The 26,421-nt window shown below is 36.6% G+C and overlaps 1 protein-coding gene across 7 annotated transcripts in view, besides 1 other annotated feature; it reads right to left on the reverse strand.

The window, feature by feature from the left end:
• The window catches only part of CTNNA3 (catenin alpha 3), a 1,851,072-nt gene that overhangs the window by 1,600,120 nt on the left and 224,531 nt on the right, over nucleotides 1–26,421 (reverse strand). For all 7 annotated transcript variants that reach the window (XM_047425124.1, NM_013266.4, XM_017016152.2 and 4 more), the window contains one exon: nucleotides 9,200–9,319. In XM_047425124.1, the coding sequence (XP_047281080.1) occupies nucleotides 9,200–9,319 (120 nt within the window). The remainder of the gene's footprint in view (nucleotides 1–9,199; nucleotides 9,320–26,421) is intronic.
• Nucleotides 14,191–14,360: an enhancer, noted in NCBI's record as "experimental_15830 CRE fragment used in MPRA reporter constructs". NCBI's record gives its function as "activates a minimal promoter by MPRAs in K562 erythroleukemia cells, with activity observed for both the introgressed and non-introgressed 10:69286676 variant alleles {active_cell/tissue: K562}" and the evidence as "EXISTENCE:reporter gene assay evidence [ECO:0000049][PMID:34662402]".

Below are 26,421 nucleotides of genomic sequence, written 5' to 3' on the forward strand. Positions count from 1 at the left end.
AGTCTTTCCTTTGTCTACAGTGTTGTAATATTATTGCATTTTCTTCTTTAAAAAAAAAAAAGGGCCAGGAGCGGTGGCTCACACCTGTAATTCCAGCACTTTGGGAGGCCGAGGCAGGCAGATCACAAGGTCAAGAGATCGATACCATCCTGGCCAACATGGTGAAACTCCATCTCTACTAAAAATACAAAAATTAGCTAGGCATGATGGTACACACCTGTAGTCCCAGCTACTCGGGAAGCGGAGGCAGAAGAATTGCCTGAACCTGGGAGGCAGAGATTGCAGTGAGCCAAGATCGCGTCACTGACTCCAGCCTGGCAACAGAGCGAGAGTCCATCTCAAAAATAAATAAATAAATATTTAAAAATTTAACATTTTTAAAAAGGCACTACTGAATTATTTTCATTTACTGGCACCTCACCGCCTAATACAGTATATTCGCATGTATAGATAAATGTTAAAAGCATCTTTGTTGTTCCTGCAGTTTGATATGAAACCCAATTTCCTGGATTATTCCATAGTCCCAATGCAACAAGGTTCCTACAGACTCAAGAAAGTCCATACCCATTCTGGTACTCCTTTCATCCTGGTAGAAAATTCTGTTCTACTTCAGATTCCTAGGGCTCAATCTGAAAGAGCAGAACTCCCACCTGGAGGACAAGCATAATCAGAAAGAAGTGGACTTCACTGAAAAGTCAATTGTGCTGCATCCTCATTTCAGTCCTTTGTTGTACATTTCTGTGAACACTCAAAGAAGTTCACTCCTTTCTTCTTGAGTAGGAAAGTGGAAATGTAGAGTGGCTGGAGGCTTGCGTTTTAGAGAAGACTGCACCCACATCTTTTATTAAGGGGACTATGAGGGGCTCCTCTATTCCACATGTCCCTGAATACAGGACAGAATGTCACTACTCGACCACCTAGCAAGTGTCCAGCAAAGGAAATGCTCCTCAAGACACAGGAGGTAGCAGAAGTATGTTTTTCCCTGGAGAGAATGGGGCTCACTTCCACAAAGGCTGCCATCAGAGCCTTTCATTATAGCCATATATAAGCAAGGCCTCCCAAACCATGAACCCCAGTGAAATAAACTGAATGTCCTGGCTTTGTTTTAACATTAGAAGAGATTTCTGCAGCCAGTCCAATCTCAGCATCATGCAGCTTTTCAAACAGGAAAAGAATGCTTTTCATACTATAGGTCCTCTCTTGGTTTCAGGATACAAACCAGATACCAAGGATCAATAGAGGGCTCACCAAAGAACCAAAGGTTGTGAGAATATATCATTTCCTGTTATTGTCCCAACTCTTGTCATTAGCAAAGTATGTGGCCTTGTACAAGATATTTAATCTCCTTGCAACTCATTTTTTTCATCTTTAAAATAAAACAGTTGGGGCCAGGCACAGTAGTTCATGCCTCTAATCCTTGCACTTTGGGAGGCTGAGACGGGTGAATCGAGTTCAAGACCAGCCTGGGCAACATGGTGAAACCCTGTCTCTACGAAAAATACAAAAAATTAGCTGGGCATGGTGGTGGATGCCTGTAATTCCAGCTACCTGGGAGGCTGAGGCAAGAGAATCACTTGAACCCAGGAGGCAGAGGTTGCACTGAGCTGAGATTGTGCCACTGCACTCCAGCCTGGGTAACAGAGCGAGATTGTCTCAAACATAAAAAATAAAATAAAATAAAACAGTTAGGTTAGATGAATTCTAAAGATTCTTTACTTGGTTTAAGGTTCTCTAGTATAGCATAGCCTCTGTAATTTGCATCTTAAACCACCAAAAGTCATAATCTTAGTAGTGAAAGATTACCTTCTTTTCATGCACAGATCACTTTCAAAGTGCAAAACAGACTAAAGAAGACATTTTCAGAGTTAACTTGTCTATTTTTTTTTATTATTATACTTTAAGTTTTAGGGTACATGTGCACATTATTTCTCCTCAATACCAACTTTTATTGACAACCTTATGGACTTAGGTATGTCAATATAAGACATGCACAAATAAGCACCATATTGATGCAAACACTGAAGTTGTTTTTTGTTTGTTTGTTTGGTTGGTTTTGGGTTTTTGTTTTGTTTTTGTTGTTTTTTTTTTTTTTGCCATCTCTGGAATTCCTATCAGCATTGTAAATTTTGAAACAACCCATAACAAAGAATTAACTTGTTTCAATAAACATTCCCCACATAAAGTAGCTATAAGCTGCCCACAACGCAAACTACTGTATAGCAAACAACCTTGTAAAAATTAATAAATCTTCTCTGGTGCATGAAAATCAGCTAACGCTTGACTCAACAGCTTTCTACCTAAGTGCCACCAATAAACTGAGCCCCAGAGACAACAGACGGAAACAGAATAGCAAACCTTAGGAATTAAAAGATGTCTCTATAATGTTTTTACTTTGCTAATTTAATAGAAGACACTTAGTTATCATGACCATTAACTATCCAATGTGGAAATCAAATTTTAGGAGGACAAATGTATAATATGCATCATTTTCATCATTCATTTTAAAATAAAGGCAAGTTTCTTACATTAAAAAATCCATAAGATTTTTTCTTCAGACTGTAACTATAGAAAAACAAATCACCCTATAAAGATCTGTAGTTTATGAAGTAGTGAAAATGATCAAATGGCTATTGCAAAAAGCTGGATATTAGGAAATGTGAATATTAATTCTGAATTTGTTACTGACTCAGGATGACCTTGCATGATGCATCCAACCTTCTTTTCTCTATATCAGAAAACTAAAGAATAAATGTAACATCACATTCTTTTCTCCTTTGGGACAAACAACTATGTACAATTGAATAAAAATGAAATTGCATAAGTAGTGGATAGAATATGTTTGGGTTGGTTTGAACTTAGCACACTGTTTAATAATTCAACATTTTTTATACCTGTGCAATAAATTTTTAAATGATGTCTGAAATGCTTTGAAATCTTCAGAAACAGGTTTATAAATGGCATAAAAAATCATTTTATTTGATCTGGTAAATAAGAAATAGAATACCACCTAAGACAGACATGAATATTTTAGTATAGCAGTCCTTGGTTCACTTACCCTTAAAAGGAATAATTCAATCAGAATTCTTTCAGGACAGTTAGATTAATTACAGAAGAAGGAAAAAAAGAATCTTCTCCCAATTGAGCAATTAACATACTTCATCTTACAAAGGTCACTGAAGTTAATCCATGGCTATAGAACTATTGCTCTAGAAGCTTAGCACCTCCCCTTAGTACTCATTCAGTCCAGCTCCCACTTACACCCTTCCTTAGACTGCATCTAAACAATTCCAGATACACATGTTCTTTATCTTTTATTTTATTGATTTATTTATTTTTTGACATGGAGTTTTGCTCTTGTCACCCAGGCTGGAGTGCAATGGCATGATCTCATCTATCTGCAACCTCTGCCTCCTATATTCAAATGATTCTCCTGCCTCAGCCTCCCGAGTAGCTGCGATTACAGTTGCCTGCCACCATGCCCGGCTAATTTTTTGTATTTTTAGTAGAGACGGGGTTTCACCATGTTGGTCAGGTTGGTCTTTATTTTTAAAGGTCTTAAAGAAAATATATTTACAATTCCATTTTAATGTTAGCCCCAATGGAAAGTTAGTCCCTACCTTATAAGGTCCTTGTAGATAAGCAATTCCCAGTGCAATATTATTCTAGCTGATTCACTACTTTTTTCTTGCTATAAGTCCTTACATGATTGAAGGATATTATCGGAACTCATCAACTTTTTCTTCTCTATATGCTATAGTACAACCACAAGCCTAGCACTATTTAGTTTCATTTTCTAAGCATTTCTTCCACAGGATCCCTACATTGTTTTGTTGTATCCTCAGAGTTCTCAAGTTCCCAGAGTAAGCCTAAGAGTATTTTCTATGTGGTCAGTCATTATCTATCTAGAATTTTATTTTTTGTTTTGAAATATTTGATTGACAAAGATTGAATATATTCAAAGTGTGCAACAAGATGATTGAGAGATATATACACATTTTGTAATGACTACCACCATTAAATTAACACGTCTATCATCACTCGTGCTGTTTATTAGGTCCCCAGAACTTGTTCATCTTATAAGTGAAAATGTGTACCTTTGATCAATATCTACTAATTTCCTCCACCCACCAATCCCTGGAAAGCACTCCTCTACCCTCTACTTCTCTGAGTTTGACATTTTCAGATTCCACATATAAGTAAGACCATACAGTATGTGTATTTCTGTGTCTGGATTACTTTGCTTAGCAAAATGTCTTCCAGGTTCAACCATACTATTGCAAAGGCAGGATTTCCTTCCTTTTTAAGGCTAAATAATATTTCATTGCTTATATGTATACCACATTTTCTTTATTCATCTGTTAATAGACACTTAGGTTGTTTCAATATCTTGGCTGTTGTGAATAATGCTGCAATGAACGTGGGAGTGCAGCTATCTCTTCAAGATACTGATTCCATTTTCTTTGGATATATACCCAAAAGTAAGATTGATAGGTCTTATGATAGCTCTATTTCATATGTTTTTAGCAACCTCTATACTTTTTCCGAAATGACTGTACCAATTTACATTCCCAACAATGTGCAAAGGTTTCCTTTTCTTCACATCATCACTAACTCCTGTTATCTCTTGTCTTGCACACCTGTTAGGATGGCTATCATGAAAAAGATAAGAGATAACAAGTAGAATTTTATTTTTCAATTGAAAAATATTAACCCGCAGTCATTTTTATCAAATAAATTTTATCTAACTTATTTTTATTTTTCTTCTGTTTAATAAAAGTTTGTTTTAAATTCAATTTTTATCCTACAAGGTATTATGTACCCTTCTGGCTTTGGAATTACCTAAAAGGGGTCACACACCCAGTTTAGTAAAAGAAAAAAAAAGCAGTTGTTCACTCCTGAGCATCGTCACTAAAAAAGTACCATGTGCTGAACAATACCTGAAGCATAAGGGAAGCTTGGATATATAGAATGTATTATTAACCTGAATTGGACGTTAGCCAGAACACTGAACCTACTTCCCCCAAGAGATTGTCATAGTACAAGTCCTCAGTACTTTAACTGCCCATCAAGAGATATCACCTTAGAAACATATTAGAACAAAATGTTGCAGCTCCCTTCTTGAGAGGTGTCAGCATGTTCTTTTTGTTACATAGATCACCAACTGCTAGACTATGTATGTCCAAAAACATTCTATCCCATATGTTCAGAACAGTGCTGGACCCTATGTACAGCACAGAAGTATACAAAATAAAGAACATATCCATATCCTTATGGAACTTACAACCTATTTAAGAAAATGGCTTATGAGAATAACAGAAAACATATAATAGCTACCAATTATACTAAACACATGTCAGGTGCAATGTTAAGTCCTTTATACATATTTCATAGGACTTACTTTATACTTGATATATTGTTTCCTCAAAGCAAGCTATTTAAGTTAGGGTTATTTTTCCGATGCTTTTTAAAAAGAAACTCAGGTATCCAGTACAAACAGTCTAACCAGGTTTGGGTAACTACAAAGCTCACACTCTAATCACTGTACTACATGGATTCTCAATGAGTATATCATCAATCAAATGCTAAATTGTATGACACAAATAAAAGCTAAGAATGGCAAAGAGTGAAGAGTTATATTGACTAGAGGTCACAGGAGGAGGTGTTATGAGGGAGGCTAGACTTCAGTTTGACTTTAAAGAATGATTTAAGTATGTAAAATGAAACGGGCTGTACATTCTAAATACGAAGTTATATAAACCTTGTGCACAGGTCAGAAGGCAAGAATAGTATGCCGTGATCAGAGAGACAAGAATCAGATACGTGATGTGTTCCAACATGCATGCAGGTCTGAAGTACAATAATTTAATTTTACATATTTTTATATCAATGTCTAAATGTGCTTTAGTCTATATAATGTTCAACTCAATAATGTCAACTTTAATTTATATCAAAAGACTTCAGAAGCCTCTGGAAATGGATGTGTTTTATAATGTTATTATAAGTTTTAAGGGTAGATAAAGAGAGGAATGAATTACATTAGAGTCCACATTATCAAACCTTATTTTGTTTTACTTCACAAAACGAAAGCTCTAAGGAAACCTCTTGATTTATAAGCACTCAAATTAATACATAAATCTGAGATCGATATAATAGCTGGAACTTGTTATTACCATTCCTATGTCACACCAACTAGAAGGATGAAAACCAAGTAGTCCAAGCAGATAAACTCCAAGACTGTACCTGCCTTTCGATAGTAAGAACCAAAAGAGTGTCCAAATTCTCCGGTTAATCCTGCTTTGTCATCCGTTTACTTTAGGCTGATTCATCCCAGTAAACCCACCACCTCACCTATCACAGCCTCCTCTCACACCTTTTCCAATCAAAGCTATTTCAACATTAGTCTTTTTGAAAGTAGGAAAATGTAGAGATGTTGTGCCCTGACCCAAGGAATAGCTGATGTGCAGGCACTCACTCTTTTAAATAAATAAATACTAAGTTCAGACCTAGGAAAGAAAGCACAGTAACCTCAGAAAAACAGAAGTGAGAGAATGGAGCAAAGAACTCCAGTAGTCTTATCTTGTGCCGAGAAAGAAATCTCTCAAAGATGATGTTAAAAATATCATAGAAGGGGACAGAAAATAAAACCTAATGGATGACTCCAATAAAATAATTATAGTCAATTCATTGGACATCCATAATTCAGAGTTAACACTGGCATTTTCTGTTTGTTTTAAAAAATGGATAGAAGAATAAAATATGTTAGGAGAAAACCTCAATAATACATAGGGGCAAGGGAAAATCTCTCAGCCCTTGGTATCCAGGAAACCAAAGGCTTATGCTCTTTTGAATTTTAAATGTGTAGCAAAACACATTGATTTTAATTGCCTATAATCTGAGGTCAAACCTTTTGGCATGGTTCTTTGTTCATAGCAACAACACCACCAATAATATTTACTGAGGATTTGCCATGAGTCAGATACTGTTAGGAGCACTGGAGAGGATACAGCATTAAAGGTGACAGACGAGGCCCTGTCCTTTTGGAGCTTATGTTCTGTCCCAGTGCGGAATGATAAATATGGTTGGACCAGGGAACAAACCATGACTAATTCTCTAATACAAAGAATACCACCTTATAAAGAGGAAACTTTCTTGCTAAACTGGCAATTTTACAGAGGCCTGAATCTTTTCCATTAGAAGAAAAACACTTTCTGGCGTGTGCTTCATCAGGTTTTGGAGCTTTAAAGGAATAGAATGCGAGATAAAAGATAAATCCCATCAAGCTAGAGAAGAGCTGATGTTCTGACCCTTTGACCCTGCCCATCAAGAAGACATAACACTCCAGGTTTGAAGTCAGACTTGATTTAGATTTGAAGCCCAGTTTCACGCCTTATTAGCTCCATGACCTTAGGCATGTTACTTAACTTCCTTAACAATTTTCTCATCTGTAAAATGGTGCTAACAAAAGCCACCTCACTGTATTGTTATAAGCATTTAAAGATTCAATTCATAAATGTTTAAATCATACCATGTGCCATATGCTTTTCATTTAATAAATAGTATAGATGATTTATATAGGCATATATGTATACACTCCATGTGCTCATCTTTTCTTTATGCACATATAATTTACCCATCTATCCTCAATGCCATTCTCCCAGAGTTCTACCCTTCTGCCCCTGAGGCATTTACATTCTTCCAAATTCACAATTAGCTAATAAAAGAATCCAATCACTGAAAATGTGTTAATGAGAAACGATAACAGAAGAGTACAGTGACTACTGCCTGCCAGCTCAAATACCCCTCCATGGTAAAATATGGTTTTGGAAACAAAACTGTACTAAAAATTGCATAGGCCGGAGGAGTGACTCTGGTGTGAACGCTAAGCAGCATCCTCTGGGGGTTTGTTATAGTAGCACTCAGTAACCATCAAGTGCTAATACCTAGATCATCATTAATTTTTTTAAAAAAACAAAACTTAAATGGACATTGTATCCTTTTTCATGTAAATTAATGTGTCTGCAAAAAGAATGTATTTGCCCTGGAACATTCTATAAAACAAATATAACCCCTAGGAAAATAAGGCCATAGAAAGGTTAAATGTCCATGTAACATCTGTGATAGAGCAATACCTAGAACACAATTCTCTTTTTGGCCCAGTAATTCTAGACCATATCATGTTGACTTAATGAGATTTAACTAAAAATAGAAAATTCTGCTTTGAAAACCTTCATCCAAAAGGATCCAAAACTTGTGAATTAGGCAATGGTGAGAATGCCACACCCTTTGCTACTCTAAGAGGAAAGTCTCTCAAGTGATCGACTCGAGGCCTGGCCATGCAAGTCAGACATTTAGTCATTTTTCTAGACTCTATCCATCATGGAGCACATTACCGAATTTCATGCAACCTCATTTAAACATTTAACTGGCTGTTCTGATCGGAATAAACCTTTGGTGGAAGTAAAAGCTTGACAACGCTGACACCTAGTGGCTGTGAAGAAACTGGAGCAGATTCAGCCTAGGAAGAGTAGTGAGCTACTGTGGCAGTGTCTCCAAAACACACAGCATTTAATCATGATGAATATTAGGTTATAAAGTACCAGTTCTAAAACAAACCCTATAAAAGTTTATTTCAGCTCTCTATTTATCTAGGGGCCTACAAAAGGAGGCAATTAAAAACCTTGTATTTGAAAAGTAAATCTTCCTTCAATCTTCCACACTTAGCAAATTACTCATCTTCAAAGATCAAAGAAAACTAAAGATCAATTCATATTTTGGCATATTTATGACTATTTTCCTTAATGTTGCATGTACACCCACAACCTTATCCTGGTCTTCAGGTGATTTTTCTCCCCAGGTCAAATATAAAAGCCAACTGGCCAAGCCATTATAGAGACTCCCTTTATGCCTCTGAAGCGTCCCTAGTCAAAGGGTAGTTGGATTTTCACAAACCAGCAGGAATTTTCTTTAAGAGAGGTATAAGGACACATGTGGAAACCCCTAAAGTACACATCTAAAAGCAAGGACCACATTGAACACTGTGGGAAGCCATATGAACACAGCAGATCAGCACAGCACAACCTGTATCTGCTCTAACCATTAGAAGATAAGTTTCCTCAGACCCACCTGCACCTCTGACAGGCAGGATGGCAGGAAGCCTAAAGTGTTCATCTCCTCCACCAAGGAGAGCTCTGACTCCTACCTGCTGACGTTTGAAGGCTAAATAATCCAAATTTTCCAGCTCCTTCCCAAGCTTCTGGTAGGTTTTCTGGAGGTCAGATTTGTTGGCAACATTTTTGAGAGACTCAAATGTCCTTTGAAACTGAAATTGAAAACAAAAGTAGATCATTAGGATAGCAGCAGATTTTTCTCAAATTCTCAACTTGCTAACACGAAGAGTCGATAATGAGCCTCAGTTTCTCCCATTCATAATACAGTGATAACAAATGCTAGCTAATTATCTTTCAATGAAATAATTAGGGACACAGAAAGAGTTATAAACCATATTCTAAGTATAACCAACATTACTGCATGCATGAGAAGCCTGTTCAGTCCTCATTCTAACAAAAGAGCATACTTCATTTAAAAAAAATAAAAAAGAAAGTTCATCTTTTAGGATATACTTCTGCTTTAAAATTTTTTAGAAAGCACTGTGAATGTATAATTTTAAATCATAATGAGGAAGCATTAAAGAGTGCTCACATTTCAATCATGGAAACAAACAAATTTATGAAAATGTAGTTGCTTACACGATATTTTGCTATAATGGCATGGAATCTGGCTTGCCTCTATAATAATATCTATGCAGAATAGGTCACCCAACAAACTTCAGCAAGAAAGATCTCTCAGAGCTTGTATTTTGAGAAGGAAGGAAAACTTAACATTTTGATGATCAAAGCATATGTGGCATGTTCAGCAAACATTTATTCATTTCTGCTCTATAACACAGATGAGCTATGAGCAGATGAGTTATGATCAGAAAGAGAGTTCTGATCAGTTCTGCTGAATCAGAATGCTCCTATTCTTTTTAAATCAGATACTAGATAAATACAAAGGTGAAAAATTGCAACGAACCACAGAATACTGTCTGCTACTAATAATTAATTAAGCAAAGGAAGCTCACAAGAAATTGGATTCTTGGTTTATTTTCATAAATTAGAACATACTTTGGAGGGTTAGTGATTGAAAATGTCAAGTAATGTAATTTGCAAGACATTTGCATTTGCTCTCTCTTTATGTCATTTATTTCCCATATTCTCACTCTGTGCCATTAGACAGATTTCTACAGATAGAGACTTGACCATCTTAAACACACCAGAACTCCACTGTGACTATGATGCCATGAGACAGGCTAATAAGATTTTATAGAATATAATTAAGTTTCCAGGGAAATGATTTGACCCTTACTATATCAAACTCTATGAAATAAGTCATATTAAAATGGCATTCTACTGAATTAAATCCCTAATTTCATGAAAGCAACATGTTTATCTCAATCCAAGGTGACAGAGGGAAAAGAAATGGGAAATAACAGTGCTAAGCTTCCATGACAGGACAGTAAATTAAATTCAACAAATAATCATTTAGAACCTACTATGCACAAAGCACTATGAATATAAAAGACATTTCCTGCCCTGAAGGAACTCATACCACTGGAGAAACTAGACATGAAATTCGGAAATGAGATGGACACTGACACTTACTGAGTGCCCACTCAGCCCCAGGTACTTGATGCTTTCCAATTTAATCTTCACAAGAACCACAGGAGTTCCTATTTCTCTTCTCATTCTATAATTGAGTAAACTGGGTTTCAGAAAGTTTGATTGAACTGGGTTTTTATTACAACATTCATGTTCTTTCTACTCTATCCTTAACTCTAACACAAGGCAAGGTAGTAAAGAGAGTGCAAAAAAAGAGAGATAAAGGTAACATTGGTGAAAACTCGGAAAACTCACTGATACTGACACTGACGGAGGGACTCAGACCACGTAGAAGACGTAAGACAATTTGAGTTGGGCCCCAAAGGACAGGAAGTCTTTTAAGAGTCTGACGTGGAAACCAATTCTACCCAACATATTAAACACAGCCAAAATCAGTTCATTTTCCCCCACTTATAACAATAAACAAGTTCCTTTCAACATAATTTTAATGACCTTTATATGAAATATTTATTATATTGTATAATCATTTCTGTGCCTTGCCCATTTCTTGGTTCATTCTCACTATGTTCAAATCAAAATAAAACCTTATCTAAGATTCTAAAAAATTTAAGTAATTTTATCTATGATTTAATTAATACAAGCTATTTTACTGACAAATCCATTTAACTCTAAAGCATGTTTTAGCCCCTGCACTTTGTCTTCCCTAAGAAATATTAGCTCTACTTCTTAAAATATTTTTTCTTCATATTTATCTCTGTAAACATTATACAACTCCAAATGGGAACTTTAGAGCAAACACACTTGTAAAGAGTGTTCAAAATAGCCGGGCGCGGTGGCTCACGCCTGTAATCCCAGCACTTTGGGAGGCCGAGGCGGGCGGATCACGAGGTCAGGAGATCGAGACTATCCTGGCTAACACGGTGAAACCCCGTCTCTACTAAAAATACAAAAAATTAGCCAGGAGAGGTGGCGGGCGCCTGTAGTCCCCGCGGGAGGCTGAGGCAGGAGAATGGCGTGAACCCGGCAGGCGGAGCTTGCAATGAGCCGAGATTGCGCCACTGCACTCCAGCCTGGGCGACAGCGAGACTCTGTCTCAAAAAAAAAAAAAAAAAAAAAAAAAGAGTGTTCAAAATAAGAAACACAGAAAACCAACACTTCAGGTAATATGCCCATGGCCAAAGGAGAAATGGAGAAAATCCAGTAACAATACATGATCACAAGAATGTTTTAACTAAAGGTCGGACTTTGTATAATATGGAGATTTCAGCTTGAACTTTTGTTATCAGGAATTATATCCTCCATTTATTGATAATAAAGAGTTCAAAATACTGTAAAACCATGATAATTTCATTCATTTAAGCAGTTTTTTTTGCTTACAACAATAATTAATTGTCAAGGAGAGGTCATATGAAAGCTGTGGTATAGCTCTGGCTTAGCTCCCTATTAAACACACCCCATCCCCACCTGCACACATGTACGCTTAAAGATACTAAAGAGTGAAAGCAATAATCTTACTTTCCAAGTGATGCTGAAGTACAGAAGATAAAAGTTAGGTTGAGGCCTAGGTTTTAAAGAGTATTCACTTGGCTTGAAGATTTTTCTAATAGGCCACAATGGTTAATCATTGAAACAAACCTCCAAGATTTTCTATATTTGTTCAGTACATGATAATTTTCTTATATTGATTATTTCTCCAAATAAATGATCTCCCAGTTGGAGACAAGTTGGGGAAAGGAAGCACAATTAATTGAAGAGATTTTTAATACTGCTGGATTTTACTTATTCATAGTTTTGAGTGGGAATTTAAAATGAGCCAAAAACCCCAGAATAATTTGTTGAACCTTGAATTTATCCTGTGTTTTTTTTTTTAACTCGTTATAAACCAAACTCAAACTTTAAAAAGCTCAGTGAATTAGACTAAACCCAAAACAAACCTTGGACATACAAGATAAGAATGGGTAGAGGAAAACAATATCCCTAAGCCCAGCACTTGCTGGAAAAGTAAGCACTGTCAACACTCCCAGAGTGTGTTTTCTCATCAAATTATTTCTGCTCAGAAATAATAATAGTAATCCATCAAATAAAACAGCAGAAACTATAATTGCTCATCTCACATTAAAATAGCTGACAAATTATTTTGCAAGAAAGAGAAGCATAGAAAAGGCAACAGGAAAATGTCTACTTTGTCTCAGCAGTCCCTTTTCCCAGATACATTTTTTCTCCTTTTTCCTGACAATACATATATAAATAAATCTAAGCCAGTGTTCTATACAAATTATGCATCCAATGAGTTCATGTAAATTATGTAGATTTGTGGAGTAATTTGAGAAAGACACGAAGAAATAGGCTGAAACAGCAGGAAAAAAAAATGCAGCCAAGGCTCTGGCAAATAAAGTTTTCCTCTCCCTCACTGCCAACGCCCTGGCTTCCTTTTGTAGTCAGATCGATTGATTCAAATAACTCTAGAGCTCCAGCAGCCTACTAATTCCCATAATTTAAAAACATCAAGTAGCATTGCTCCAAAACAAGAGCCAGCTCCACAGTCATCATGTTTTCTTATTTAATATTTCATGCATTTATACGAGGTGCTGGGTGCTACCTGTAACATGAAAAGAAATCCCATACCCGCAGCGTTATGTGTACAAAAGGGTATACAGTAAGTGCCTGATGGAAAGCATTATATCACCAAGTGTGATCTTAGTGTCCCTAAATCATCTGTTTAAAACAATGCTAAAAGTTTCTGGAGCCTAAAGCAGAAGGAAAGAATAGTCAAAAAAATAATATATTGATGCTCTATAAATATTAATACCTAGAGTAAAAAGAAATTGTTTTAAGCATAAGAAATAGCTAATCTACCTTACTTAAATATGGCAACCACAGAGCAATCAAAAATAAAGTATTACAGAGAAAGAAATTATTTAATGTTTCTGAATTTAATCCATTGACTTTCATATTTTCCAAATGAACTTACAAGATGATAATACCACTCAATAAAAAGAAGTTTACAACTGAAGCAGAAAATTAAAGCTCACATACATATCTCAAATGATTTTTTTTTTTTTTTTTTTGCTGTAAGGAATGACTATAAAAGTTAAGAACATAGAGCAAAATTGGGCTTGAGATCTAAATTAGAAATAGTTCTATGTAGGTGAAGGCACACTGGCCTTGAGGTCTGAGGTTCAAGTCCTTGCTATGCCATTTAATAACTGCATCACTTTGGACAAGTCATTATTATTCCAATTTTGATTGTGTTATCTATAACACAGGACAAATTGTCTTTGCCTGCCTACTTCACTCAGTTGTTGTGAAATCAGTTGAGGAAAAATAAAAGACATTCATTCAACAAATATTTATCAATGAGCAACATACCAGACATGTAAGAAACAGAGGAAAACAAAAGAGAAACAACTCTTACCCTAACAGATTTTACAATCTAGCTTTATAGGTTACTGCTTTATAAACTTAAAAGTTCCATAAAATTGAAAAGACCATTGTCATTAAGATCATGACACCTTTCAGTAGTGAATAAGGACTGAACAAAAGGGTCATTCAATAATTGTTTATAGAGCAGCATCACTGTGCAAAGCACTGGGCTTGACGCTGTGAGAAACATCACATTTATGGTGAGGCTTGGGTGGAAAAATGACGAAATCATTGATGCTTTATGAAAAGTTTGGCCAGGTACAGTGGCTCACGCTGTAATCTCAGCACTTTGGGAGGCCGAGGCTGGCAGATCAATTGAGGTCAGGAGTTCGAGACCAGCCTGGCCAACATGGTGAAATCCCATCTTTATTAAAAATACAAAAATTAGTCAGGTGTGGTGGCATGCACCTGTAATCCCAGTTACTTGTGAGGCTGAGGCAAGAGAATTGCTTGAGCCCAGGAGGCAGACGTTGCAGTGAGCCGAGATCGCACCACTGCACTCCAGCCTGGGTGACAGAAAAAGACTTCATCTCAAAGATAAGATAAAATAAAATAAAATAAAAAGTTTATGGGCAATGTCCCCAAAGAAATCAGCAGTTTACAAATGGATAATCCATTTTGAGAAGGGTCAAGATGATGTTGAAGACAAAACCCACAGCAGCAGACCATCCACATCAATTTGCAAGGAAAAAATTAATCTTGTTTGTGTCCTAATTGAAGAGGACCAACAATTAACACCAGAAGCAATAGCCAACATCATAGACATCTGAACTGGTTCAGCTTACACAATTCTGACTGAAAATTTTCAGTTGAGCAAAGTTTCCCCTGGATGAATGCCAAAATTGTTGCACATAGATCAATTGCAGATAAGACCAGAGCTTTCAATGAAATGTTTTAACAATTTTAATTTCATCAAGCTCCTTAAGTATTCCTTTGGAGAAATCTAACAAAAGATGAATGTGGATTTACCAGTATGATCCTGAAGACTGAGCACAATCAAAGCAATATCTACCAAGAGGTGGAAGTGGTCCTGTCAATGCAAAAGCAAGCTAGTCAAGAGCAAAGATCATGGCAATAGTTTTTTAAGATGCTCAAAGAATTTTGCTTGTTGATTTTCTGGAAGGCCATGGAATGATAGTATCTGTTTATTATGAGAGTCTTTTGAGAAAGCTAGCCAAAGCTTTAGCAGAAAAACACTGGGAAAGCTTCACCAGAGTCCTTCTCCACCACAATGCTCCTGCTCATTCTGCTCATTCTGCTCATTAAACAAAGCCAATTTTGCAAGTTTCAATATAAAATCATTAGGTATCCACCTTACAGTCCTGGTTTGGCTCCTTCTGACTCTTTTTGTTTCCAAATCTCAAAAAATATTTAAAGGGCACTCATTTTTCTTCAGTTGATAATGTAAAAAAGACTGCATTGGCACGGTTAAATTCCAGGACATTCAATTCTTTAGGGATGAACTAAATGGCTAGTATCATTATTTACAAAAGTGTCTTCAACTTGATGGAGTTTATGATGAGAAATAAAGTTTATATTTTTTATTTTTTTCTTTTAATTCCATTTTTCTATGAACTTTGTGAAGTCCCCTCATCATTACCCTGCTTAAAATTCTTTCATGGTTTCCCCTTAGCTTTCAGACTATAGTTCAAACTTTGTAACTTAGCACATAGACCTTTCAAATTAGGTCTATGCCTACCTCTCCAGCTTCAACTCTTGTTCCTCTCACACAGTTCACCCTTCATCTCAGCCATTCAGGACTATTACAAGTCTTTCAGCATACATCCTCTTCTGCAGGTAAAATGCCCTCTGCCCCACTACCTTCTTTCTCTAGTCAACTCTCCAAACTCAGCCACACAGTATTCATTTAACATACCCTCTCTTAATACAATTCCAACCTCCATAACACTTTGTACCAACCTCTACCATAATAACATATTGTTAATTTACTTTTTATCTAGTCTGTAAATTCCAAGAGAGCAGGATCATGATGGTATTTTTAGAAATTTGAATCCCTAGCACATACTAGAGTGATGGTGACTGCCACAAAGTAAGCACACAAAAATAACCATTTGCTGAGGTAATCCATTAATTAATCAAATCAGAGATAACTGGAAAGATGCTGATTCCTTCTTAAAAAATGAAAATTTTACATGGTTTAAATTTGTATGGTCAAAGGTCATAAAATTTCAATTAAACAGGAGGAATAATCTCAAGAGATCTATTGTACATCATGGTGACTGCAGTTAATACCAATAAATTATATACATGAAAATTGCTAGAGTAAATTTTAAGTGTTCTCACTACCAAAAATTGATAAGTATAAAAGGTAATGCATATATATTAAGTAGCTTGAGTTAGCGATTCCAGAATGTATACATGTATTAAAACATCATGTTATATACCATAAATATATATAATTTTTACTTGTCAAAATAGGGGGATATAGAAGGGATGGTTAATGGATATAAAAATAAAGTTAGATGGAAAAAAATCTGGTGTTTGGTAACATAATAGAAAGACCATAGTTAACAATAACTTATCACATATTTCAAAATAACTAAAAGAGTAGAATCAGAATGTTCCTAACACAAAGAAATGATAAATGCTTGAGGTGATGGATATTCCAATTACCCTGATTTGATCATTACACATTATATGCTTTTATCAAAATATCATATATACCCCATAAATAAGTACAACTATTATGTATCTATATGAGAACACATGGACACAGGAAGGGGAACATCACACTCTGGGGACTGCTGTGGGGTCGGGGGAGGGGGGAGGGATAGCTTTAGGAGATATACCTAATGCTAAATGATGAGTTAATGGGTGCAGCACACCAGCATGGCACATGTATACATATGTAACTAACCTGCACATTGTGCACATGTACCCTAAAACTTAAAGTATAATAATAATACAATAAATAAAATAAAATAAAATAAAATAAAATTTAAAAAATATACGTTTGAAAAAAAAATTTCTTCTTCCCTAAAATTTCCAATAGGAAATTCATGACAAATCCAGCAAGTATGCCCTATTTGTCTCTATTTCTAATTTCTCCTCTTATATCTTGATGTGGTTTGGCTGTGTTCCCACCCAAATCTCATCTTGAATTGTAACTCCCACAATTCCCAAGTGTCATGGGAGGAACCCGGTGGGAGGTGATTGAATTATGGGGGCAGGTCTTTCCTGCACTGTTCTCGTGATAGTGAATGAGTGTCACGAGATCTGACGGTTTTAAAGATGGGAGTTTCCCTACACAAGCTCTCTCTTTGCCTGCCGCCATCCACATCAGATGTGACTTGCTCCTCCTTGCTTCCACCATGATTGTGTAGCCTCCCCAGCAAGGTGGAACTGTAAGTCCATTAAACCTCCTTCTTTTATAAATTGCCCAGTCTCAGGTATGTCTTTATTAGCAGCATGAAAACAGACTAATACAGTAAATTGGTACCAGTAGAGTGGGGTGCTGCTGTAGATACCTGAAAATGTGGAAGCAATTTGGGAACTGGGTAACAGGCAGCGGTTGGAACAGTTTGGAGGGCTCAGAAGAAGACATGAAAATGTGGGAAGGTCTGGAACTTCCTAGAGACTTGTTGAATGGCTTTGCCCAAAATGCTGATAAGCATATGCGCAATAAAGCCCAGGCTGAGGTGGTCTCAGCTGGAAATGAGGAACTTGTTGGGAACTGGAGCAAAGGTGACTCTTGTTATGTTTTAGCAAAGAGATTGGTGGCATTTTGCCCTGCCCTAGAGATTTGTGGAAATTTGAACTTGAGAAAGATGATTTAGAGTATCTGGTTTAAGGAACTTCTAAGCAGCAAAGCATTCAAGAGGTGACTTGGGTACTGTTAAAGGCATTCAGTTTTATAAGGGAAGCAGAGCATAAAGTTTGGAAAATTTGCAACCTGAAAATGTGATAGAAAAGAAAATCACATTTTCTGAGGAAAAATTCAAGCCAGCTGCAGAAATTTGCATAAGTAATGAGGAGCCAAATATTAATCCCCAAGACAATGGGGAAAATGTCTCCAGGGCATGTCAGAGGACTTCCCAGCAGCCCCTCCCATCACAGGCCAGGAAGCCTAAGAGGAAAAAGCAGTTTCATGGGCCAAGCCCAAGGTCCCCATGCTGTGTGCAGCCTAGGGACTTGGAGCCCTTTGTCCCAGCTGCTCCAGCCGTGGCTGAAAGGGGCCAATGTCGAGCTTGGGCTGTGGCTTCAGAACGCAGCTTCTGAAGCCTTGCCACCTTCCATGTGGTATTGAGCCTGCAAGTGCATGGAAGTCAAAAATTGAGGTTTGGGAACCTCTGCCTAGATTTTAGAGAATTTATGGAAACGCTTGTATGTCCAGGTAGAAGTTTGCTGCAGGGGCAGGGCTCTCATGGAGAACCTCTGTTAGGAAGAGTGGAAGGGAAATGTGGTGTTGGAGCCCTCACACAGAGTACCTACTGGGGCACCACCTAGTGGAGCTGTGAGAAGAGGGCCACTGTCCTCCAGAACCACCCTAGAATGATAGCTCCACTGACAGCTTGCACTGTGCACCTGGAAAAGCCGCAGACACTCAATGGCAACCCATGAACACAGCCAGGAGGAAGGCTGTATCCCGCAAAGCCACAGGGGGAGAGCTGCCCAAGACCATGGGAACCCACTTCTTGCATCAGCATGATCTGGATGTGAGACATGGAGTCAAAGGAGATCATTTTGGAGCTTTAAGATTTGACTGCCCTGATGGATTGTGGACTTACATGGGGCCTGTAGCCCCTTTGTTTTGACCAATTTGTCCCATTTGTAACAGCTGTATTTACCCAATGCCTGTACCCTCATTGTATCTAGAAAGTAACTAACTTGCTTTTGATTTTACAAGCTCATAGGCAGAAGAGACTTGCCTTGTCTTAGATGAGATGTTGAACTGTGGACTTTTGAGTTAATGCTGAAATGAATTAAGACTTTGGGGGAATGTTGAGAAGGCATGATTAGTTTTGAAATGTGAGGACATGAGATTTGGGAGGGGCTGGGGGCAGAATGATATAGTTTGGCTGTGTCCCCACCCAAATCTCATCTTGAATTGTAACTCTCACAATTCCCACATGTCATGGGAGGAACCAGTGGGAGGTGATTGAATTACAGGGCCAGGTCTTTCCTGCACTGTTCTCATGATAGTGGAAGAGTCTCAGGAGATCTGATGGTTTTAAAAACAGGAGTTTCCCTCCACAAGCTCTCTCTTTGCCTGCTGCCGTCCATGTAAGATGTGACTTGCTCCTCCTTGCCTTCTGCCATGATTGTGAGGCCTCCCCTCACAATCATGGAATCCACATGGAATCCATGTGGAACTGTAAGTCCATTAAACCTCTTTCTTTTGTAAATTGCCCAGTATAAAGTATGTCTTTATCAGCAGAGTGAAAACAGAATACACATCTTAAATACCAGTCTTGACTTGCTCTTTTTCTTTACATCTTAATATGCTTTTACATATTTTGCCTAAGATCTTCCACAAAATATACATAGCTTCTAACAGCTCTTAATTATACAGTAATTTTCCCTTTATCAGCTGCTGATATCTTCAGTAATAAAAGGCTTTAGAAAATCTTTTTGTTGGTACACATCTGCCTTTTAAATAGAGGGTGGCCTCGGAGAGTCTCAGCTGCCAACATGGTAATGTGATTTTTCTGTCAATATAAATATTTGTCATAGTCAGAATTATTGTTTGTCCACAAATGCTTTATAAAATTATGTAGCAAATGTTAAATATACATTTGACAAAAGTTGTTAAATTCTGGACCCATTTCCTGTAAGACACTGGTCTATTACCTAATCCAAAGGGATCAACATTCCCAAAACAAGTAAAACATGACTATGGTATGATAAATGGAAAAAGTTAGAAAAGTTAGTTCAACTCAATAGTCAAATTTCCCTTCATTTTTAGGAATAAGTACAACATTTCACTCCAAGGGCCAAAAAGTGGGAGCAAGATACCAAGGAGAAGAAAGATGGGACAGGGAAAGAAGGTGAAAGAGAACTTATACCAGTTCTTGCCAAGTAATTTATGTCATATATCATTCAGTCTTCACAAAACCCTTTCAAGGTATTCGGAATAAGTTTTATTCTCCCCATAACTCAGAAGAAGAAACCAAAGCTCGCAGATTTTTAACTTTCCCAAAATCACCCAGCTAATCAACAACACAGCCAGGATTCAAGCAAGGTCTCCATGCTGCCAAAAGCCATGTTTTCTTCCCACGATGTCCTGACCCAGTAAGCAGAAGCCATCCAAACCTATTTTCTTCCAAATAAAATTGACCCTTAGAAATCCAGATGCCAAGGTGGGCACGGTGGCGGACGCCTGTAATCCCAGCACTTTGGGAGGCCAAGGTGGGCAGATCACCCAAGGTCAGGAGTTTGAGACCAGCCTAGCCAACATGGCAAAACACTGTCTTTACTAAAAATACAAAAATTAGCCTGGCATGGTGGTGCACACCTGTAATCCCAGCTACTCGGGAGGCTGAGGCAGGAGAATCACTTGAACCTGGGAGGTGAAGGTTGCAGTGAGCCAAGACCATGCCATTGCACTCCAGGTGTGCAAAAAGAGCAAATCTCTGTCTCAAAAAAAAAAAAAAGAAATCCATATGCCAATAAAACAAGATGTGGAATCCTAAGAAGAACAAATAGTACAGAAAAGTCTGAAACACTTGAACAGTATCATAGAGATAAACATTTTAACTTAAATTCCTATAAAAAATTTATAAACAATGGTGACAATAGAGCCAAAATACCTTTCCAAGTTTCTACAATTGATGAAATATTGAAATATCAGCACTTTTTTCCTCTGTCCCCTATTACCTTTCATTTGGACCTGTTTTTCCCCAAAAGAACACACACATTTCCTTAAGGAACTAGACACGTTTAAAAGTGCCATGTCAGGAATCCTTGATTATTTAATTTGGCAGTACTTGTCCATTTTTGGTTGCTCAGTGACCCATGTTTACACTAGTTGGTGGTCTCAGACTGTGTCCTTGTAAATGTTCTATTGTAATTGCTTCTCCTGGGGCAGTCTCAGTGGAAAGAGTATAATTTAATAGAAATAAGAAAGCTTTACAAAATCAGGAAATATATAGATACATGCTATTAAAAGAGAGTAACATCTCATTTATCTGACATCTAAAAGGAAATATACTTCAACGGGATTGAAAAAAATCTGTTATGTAAGAAAAGTCATAAGAAGGAAAATAAGAGTAAGGCCACTTAAAAAAAATTGTGAGCTCAGAGGAATTCTTTAATGCTATGAAATAAAGAACAAAAACAGAAAATGTAGCAGGAACTTGTATAAGTGTCAGGAGGGAAAAAAAAAAAGTCCAGAAGCCTGAATGAAATAGTAAAGACAAGGAGAAGAAAGGCAGGCCTTGGCCCATTACATGCAAAATAAGGGCAAGAAATAAAAAGGCAGTCCTCTGTTTTGGGGGAAAAAAAGTGTGTTCCCAGGAGAAATTCATGTCTTTAAAGTGGATACCCTCCTCCCACCAAAAATCTATAATAGATTATTATATAGTAGGATTGGGGAGTGTGATGGCTGACTACAGAATGCTTCTTAGGAAGGGCACTACCTATACTGAAGAAAATACCTTAAGGAGTAATTTAAGGTGGGTAGTGATATCCTAAGGACAGAAATAAGCAGGGGCCAAGTGGAGTGCTAGAGAGATAACTATTCTTTACTGCATTCCAATGAACATAATTTAGAAGTTTGAGGGAAAGTAGCTAGAGAAAAAATGTGGAAGGGCAATGAGATGGAGTTGCTATCAATGAGATTTTGAAGATTTCGAACATACAAATTGAAGCCCTTTAGAATATATTGTTGCAATATAGATATCCCTCCCTTCCGTCTTCCTGTAAGTTTCTGTAAGGTTTACTACATTCATGTATTCTGGTCTGCTCTGGTAGGTTGGAGAATGTGTGTATCTGTGTGTCTATTCGTGCAAGGGGAAAAGGCCAACTCCAGATTCTGGGTGAATATAATGTAGAATAGAGACAGAAAGACAATCTATAAATGAAAATAATTCAGTGGAAGCAAAAGCTTGGAGACAGAGTTGACCCTGAAAATATGAGCTCCCAAGGAATTTGCAGAAATTTGGGGGAGAACATTATACTTGATAGGACACAGAATGAGGGTTTAAACTAATTATATTGAGATCTTAAGAGCAAGAAGAACCCAGCAACAAGTGGTTTTGCATCATAATTAAGTGGATTATAAGTAATTTAAAAAATGAAGGTCAGAACAAAGGAGAAGAAAATAAAAGCAGGCAAGCAATGGTCACTTAGAGCTCTTATTGGGTCATTAAAAAGTAAGTCATGCCAAACTAACTTCATTTCCTTTATAACTGGGATTACTAGACTGATAAATCCACAATGCCACAAACAGTATATCTTGATTTCAAGAAAGTCTTTCAAGAAGTGCTTGAAAATGAAATAAAGAAGCATGGTTTATACAGCAGCCCAATGAAGCAAGCTTGAAGCTCATTTCAACAACTTTACTCAAAGGATGTTCATATTTGATTGGTATTATCTAAAAGAAAGATATAATACTGTTTTCCATGTCATTAAACATTTTTTCATGAATAAATTTGAAAATGATATCAGGTTAGGAAAGGAAGACAAAATCGAGAGTCAAAGGATGATGGACTGTAACAAAAAGCAGGAATTAATAAGATAAAGTTCAATGAATATAAATGTAACTTCTACCTTTACATAATTAAAAAAAAGACTAGTATCAGAGGAGGAAGACCTGGATTAGGAGTAGTTTGAGCTCAGAGAGTTGGAGGTTGTAATTGCTTTCAAAATCAATATGAACCAACAACATGACAAGGCTACTGTGATAGGTAAGATCATGTTAGACATTAAATCAGGGATGTAATTGTCCATTTATATCATGGAATGTTCACATCAGAGAGTTTGTTTTGATTTCAAGACACTGATTTCAACATTTCATGGAAGTTACCTACAATCTAGAATGCATAGAAAAGGATTTACAGAGATGATTTGGGGGACTTCTATTTCTTGTAATAGCAAATTAGAAATTCAGTCTGATCCTCTGCTGAAGGAAACGAAGGTTTGATGATAAAATAATTCATCTTAAAAACATCACAGAGCTAATAAGGCAGTGAGAAATTTCCTGAAGTGGGTTTCAGAAGAGGTGATGTTCAGTATCCAATCAAAAATAGCCATTCACATTATAAGACAAGACACCATGAGTAAAAGCAAGGAAAATGATAGCAGAAGCAGGCACCCAAGGAGTCCAAACACCAGAGTTCTCAAACCATGAGGATCAGACAGTTCTGCTCACCATGTCGAGTAGATCAAAATAAAGACTGAAAATTTCAGCAGGAAACTAAAAGTCATACAAAGAAATGTAAGCCAATTTGAAAAATATATAGAAATTCTATGGTATTTACCATATAAAGAACATCCAAAAGTCAAAAAATTTTTAGCCTAGAAAAGGGGAGACATAGGTAAGTCCTAAGAGTAATCATCAGTTATTTGAAAAGAGCCTTTTCTATTGCCTTGATTCTGTGTTGCTCCAGAAAGCAAAACTAGACGCACTGTTTGAAATAGCAGGGAGGCAGTTTTAAGCTCAGTTTGAGAAATTTGTCTCCAACAATTAGAAGTGTCCAAAATCAGCTTCACTGTCTCAGAAAATTGAGATTGTTATCATTGTTAGTGATCATCTATTGTTAGGCAGTTGCATATGTTGCATATTATCAGAGAGTCTTTCTACGTCAGGTAAAATATTAAACTGTAAGGGCACTGAAGTTTCTCCACTATGATTCTTTTGATTCCAAGTAGAAGCTAATATTGTCATAAACATTATTAGAAAAATTCCAAACTGATATTTCCCAAAGTATGGTTTCAGAAATTTCCAGGATTAATATACTATGGAAGAGTTCTGGGGTCAAAAACATTTGGGAAATTCTGAGTTAAGCAGAGTTAAACAGGCTTCTTCATGGCAATATTTCTCAACAATTTTAACGCGCTAATGTGCATCAAAACATTCATGGGAATTTCTATGTGCAGCATTGATCATTACAAAAAGAAACAACTTTTTTCCTCTTCCATATTTTCAAAGCATGCTCTACAGAATACTTTTGGGGAAATGTTGGGCTAAATAATTCTAATCCTGATGATCTCAGAAACAATTTAGTGATTTTCATTCTACATGAAGTCTTGAAATAATTGAGTTGATAATGATTCATATATAAACTTTTCATGAGGATGAAACCATGAAAAACTATCACGATTTACCACAAAAGATGTTCCCTTCTCTTTGATAAGATGCCACTTCCTTTTTCATAACATATAATTGTTTTACTACACATACTTATATGTGACATATAATCCAGTTGAAATTCAGGCTCTAACAAGGCACCAAGTGTGAGAGAGGATGGTTAGAATTTAAAACACCTTCTGGTGTATCTAACTTACTTTAATAACTGGTTGTAGGTCCATGAATTTGCCTAAACTTTTAAAAGCTGTTTGTAGTTAAAGCTGTTCTAACCATTAGAGTAGTTAAGTTCCAAAAGTTTTAATTCTTTCCTGTTTCCTTGAGCAAGTTACTTAAATTCAATGTGCCTCAGCTTTCTCATTTGTTAAATAGAAATCATGATCATAGGGCTGTTATAAGAATTGAATTAAAAGAAATAATCCAGCACAGTGTTTGGCACATTATAAAAACCCAGCAAATATTAACTATAATTTTTACTGCAAGAGGTACTTTGCTTTTGTTTGATCTACAATGCCATCCTGCTTCATTTGCATGGTATGATGTATGTGAATTACCTACCTCTGTGCCTAACTCCTAGTGGACACTCAATTAAAATGGTAGTGAAGGTGGTTTTATTCTTTATATACAGTTACCTCCTAATTGGTTATGAAGGTGGCAATTTTCACCTTACAAAAGCCCTGCATTCTGCCCTATCTCAACAAATTTAGAGTCTAAAATAGGAATTATTGGGTCATTGGAACTAGGAATTACCTGCCACTTAATCTTTTGTACCCATTTCTTGTTTACAGCATTTGTTAGTGTCTGTATTCAAATATGAGACAAATGAATCTCAGAAATGTTCAGTAATTTGTCTGTGGTTATTAAACAAACCAAGAAGCAAGTAACAGAAATCTTTGCTCAATTATGACACCTACAAATCCACTAGTAAACAGCTGCTGGTGATGAGAACAATTCCCTTTCCTAAAAAGCTACTTAAACTAAAAAAAAAAGATTGAATTGCTCTTTTTACTGTAATAAAACTATCAGTTCAGTAATTTGTCTATGGTTACTCAACAAACCAAGAAGCAAGTAACAGAAACCTTTGCTCAATTATATCACCTACAAATCTTCTAGTCAACAGCTGTTGGTGATGACAGCAATTCCCTTTCCTAAAAAGCTACTTAAACTAAAAAAAAAAAAAAAAAAAAAAAGGTATTGAATTGCTGTTTTTACAGTAATAAAACTATCAAAAGAAAAAAATGAAAGTACACAGAGAGGGTCACTCTAGCGTTAAAATAAGCAATAGTGAATACAAGAAAGATGTGGCTGGGAGCACTGGCTCACACCTGTAATCCCAGCACTTTGGGAGGCCAAGGTGGGAGGATCACGAGGTCAGGAGTTCAAGACCAGCCTGGCCAACATAGTGAAACCCCCGTCTCTACTAAAAATAAATAATACAAAAAATTAGCCAGGCATGGTGGTGTGTGCCTGTAATCCCGCTATTCAGGAGGCTAAGGCTGGAGAATTGCATGAACCCAGAAGGCAGAGATTGCAGTGAGCCGAGATCACCACTGCACTCCAACCCAGGCGACAGTGCGAGACTCCATCTCAAAAAAAAAAAGAAAAAAGGAAAGAAAGAAAAGAAAAAGAAAGATGCAAAGAAAGGTTTAGCTTAGCAGTTAGAGAAAATGATTTTGACATGAAGGTTAATCAAATAAGACCATTGCTTACTTAATAGAGTAGTTATATTAAAATCACAGACACTTTATGAAAATGCAGATTTATTTATAGACAGAGTATAAGGGTCCTATTTCAAGCAGAAAATACAACAGATATAAAAAGAGTTCTTTGCAACCTTTTCATCTGAACACTACTAATGATTTGGTCAAACTCTGAAAACAGGCTTTAATAAAATTCTCTCTCTACTAAAAATGTGCTAAGTGGGTTTGTCTGACAAAATAAAGCATTCAGGATATCTTGCTAACTTTATATCCTCCTAGCTAATATACATTATTTACTCATATTAAATACATGTCTACATTTTCCTAATGGATTACTACAGACATCACAGACTACCTGTAAACATGCACTCTT

Source organism: Homo sapiens, chromosome 10, assembly GCF_000001405.40.
Source record: "Homo sapiens chromosome 10, GRCh38.p14 Primary Assembly".
In the NCBI taxonomy this organism is placed as follows: Eukaryota; Metazoa; Chordata; class Mammalia; order Primates; family Hominidae; genus Homo; species Homo sapiens.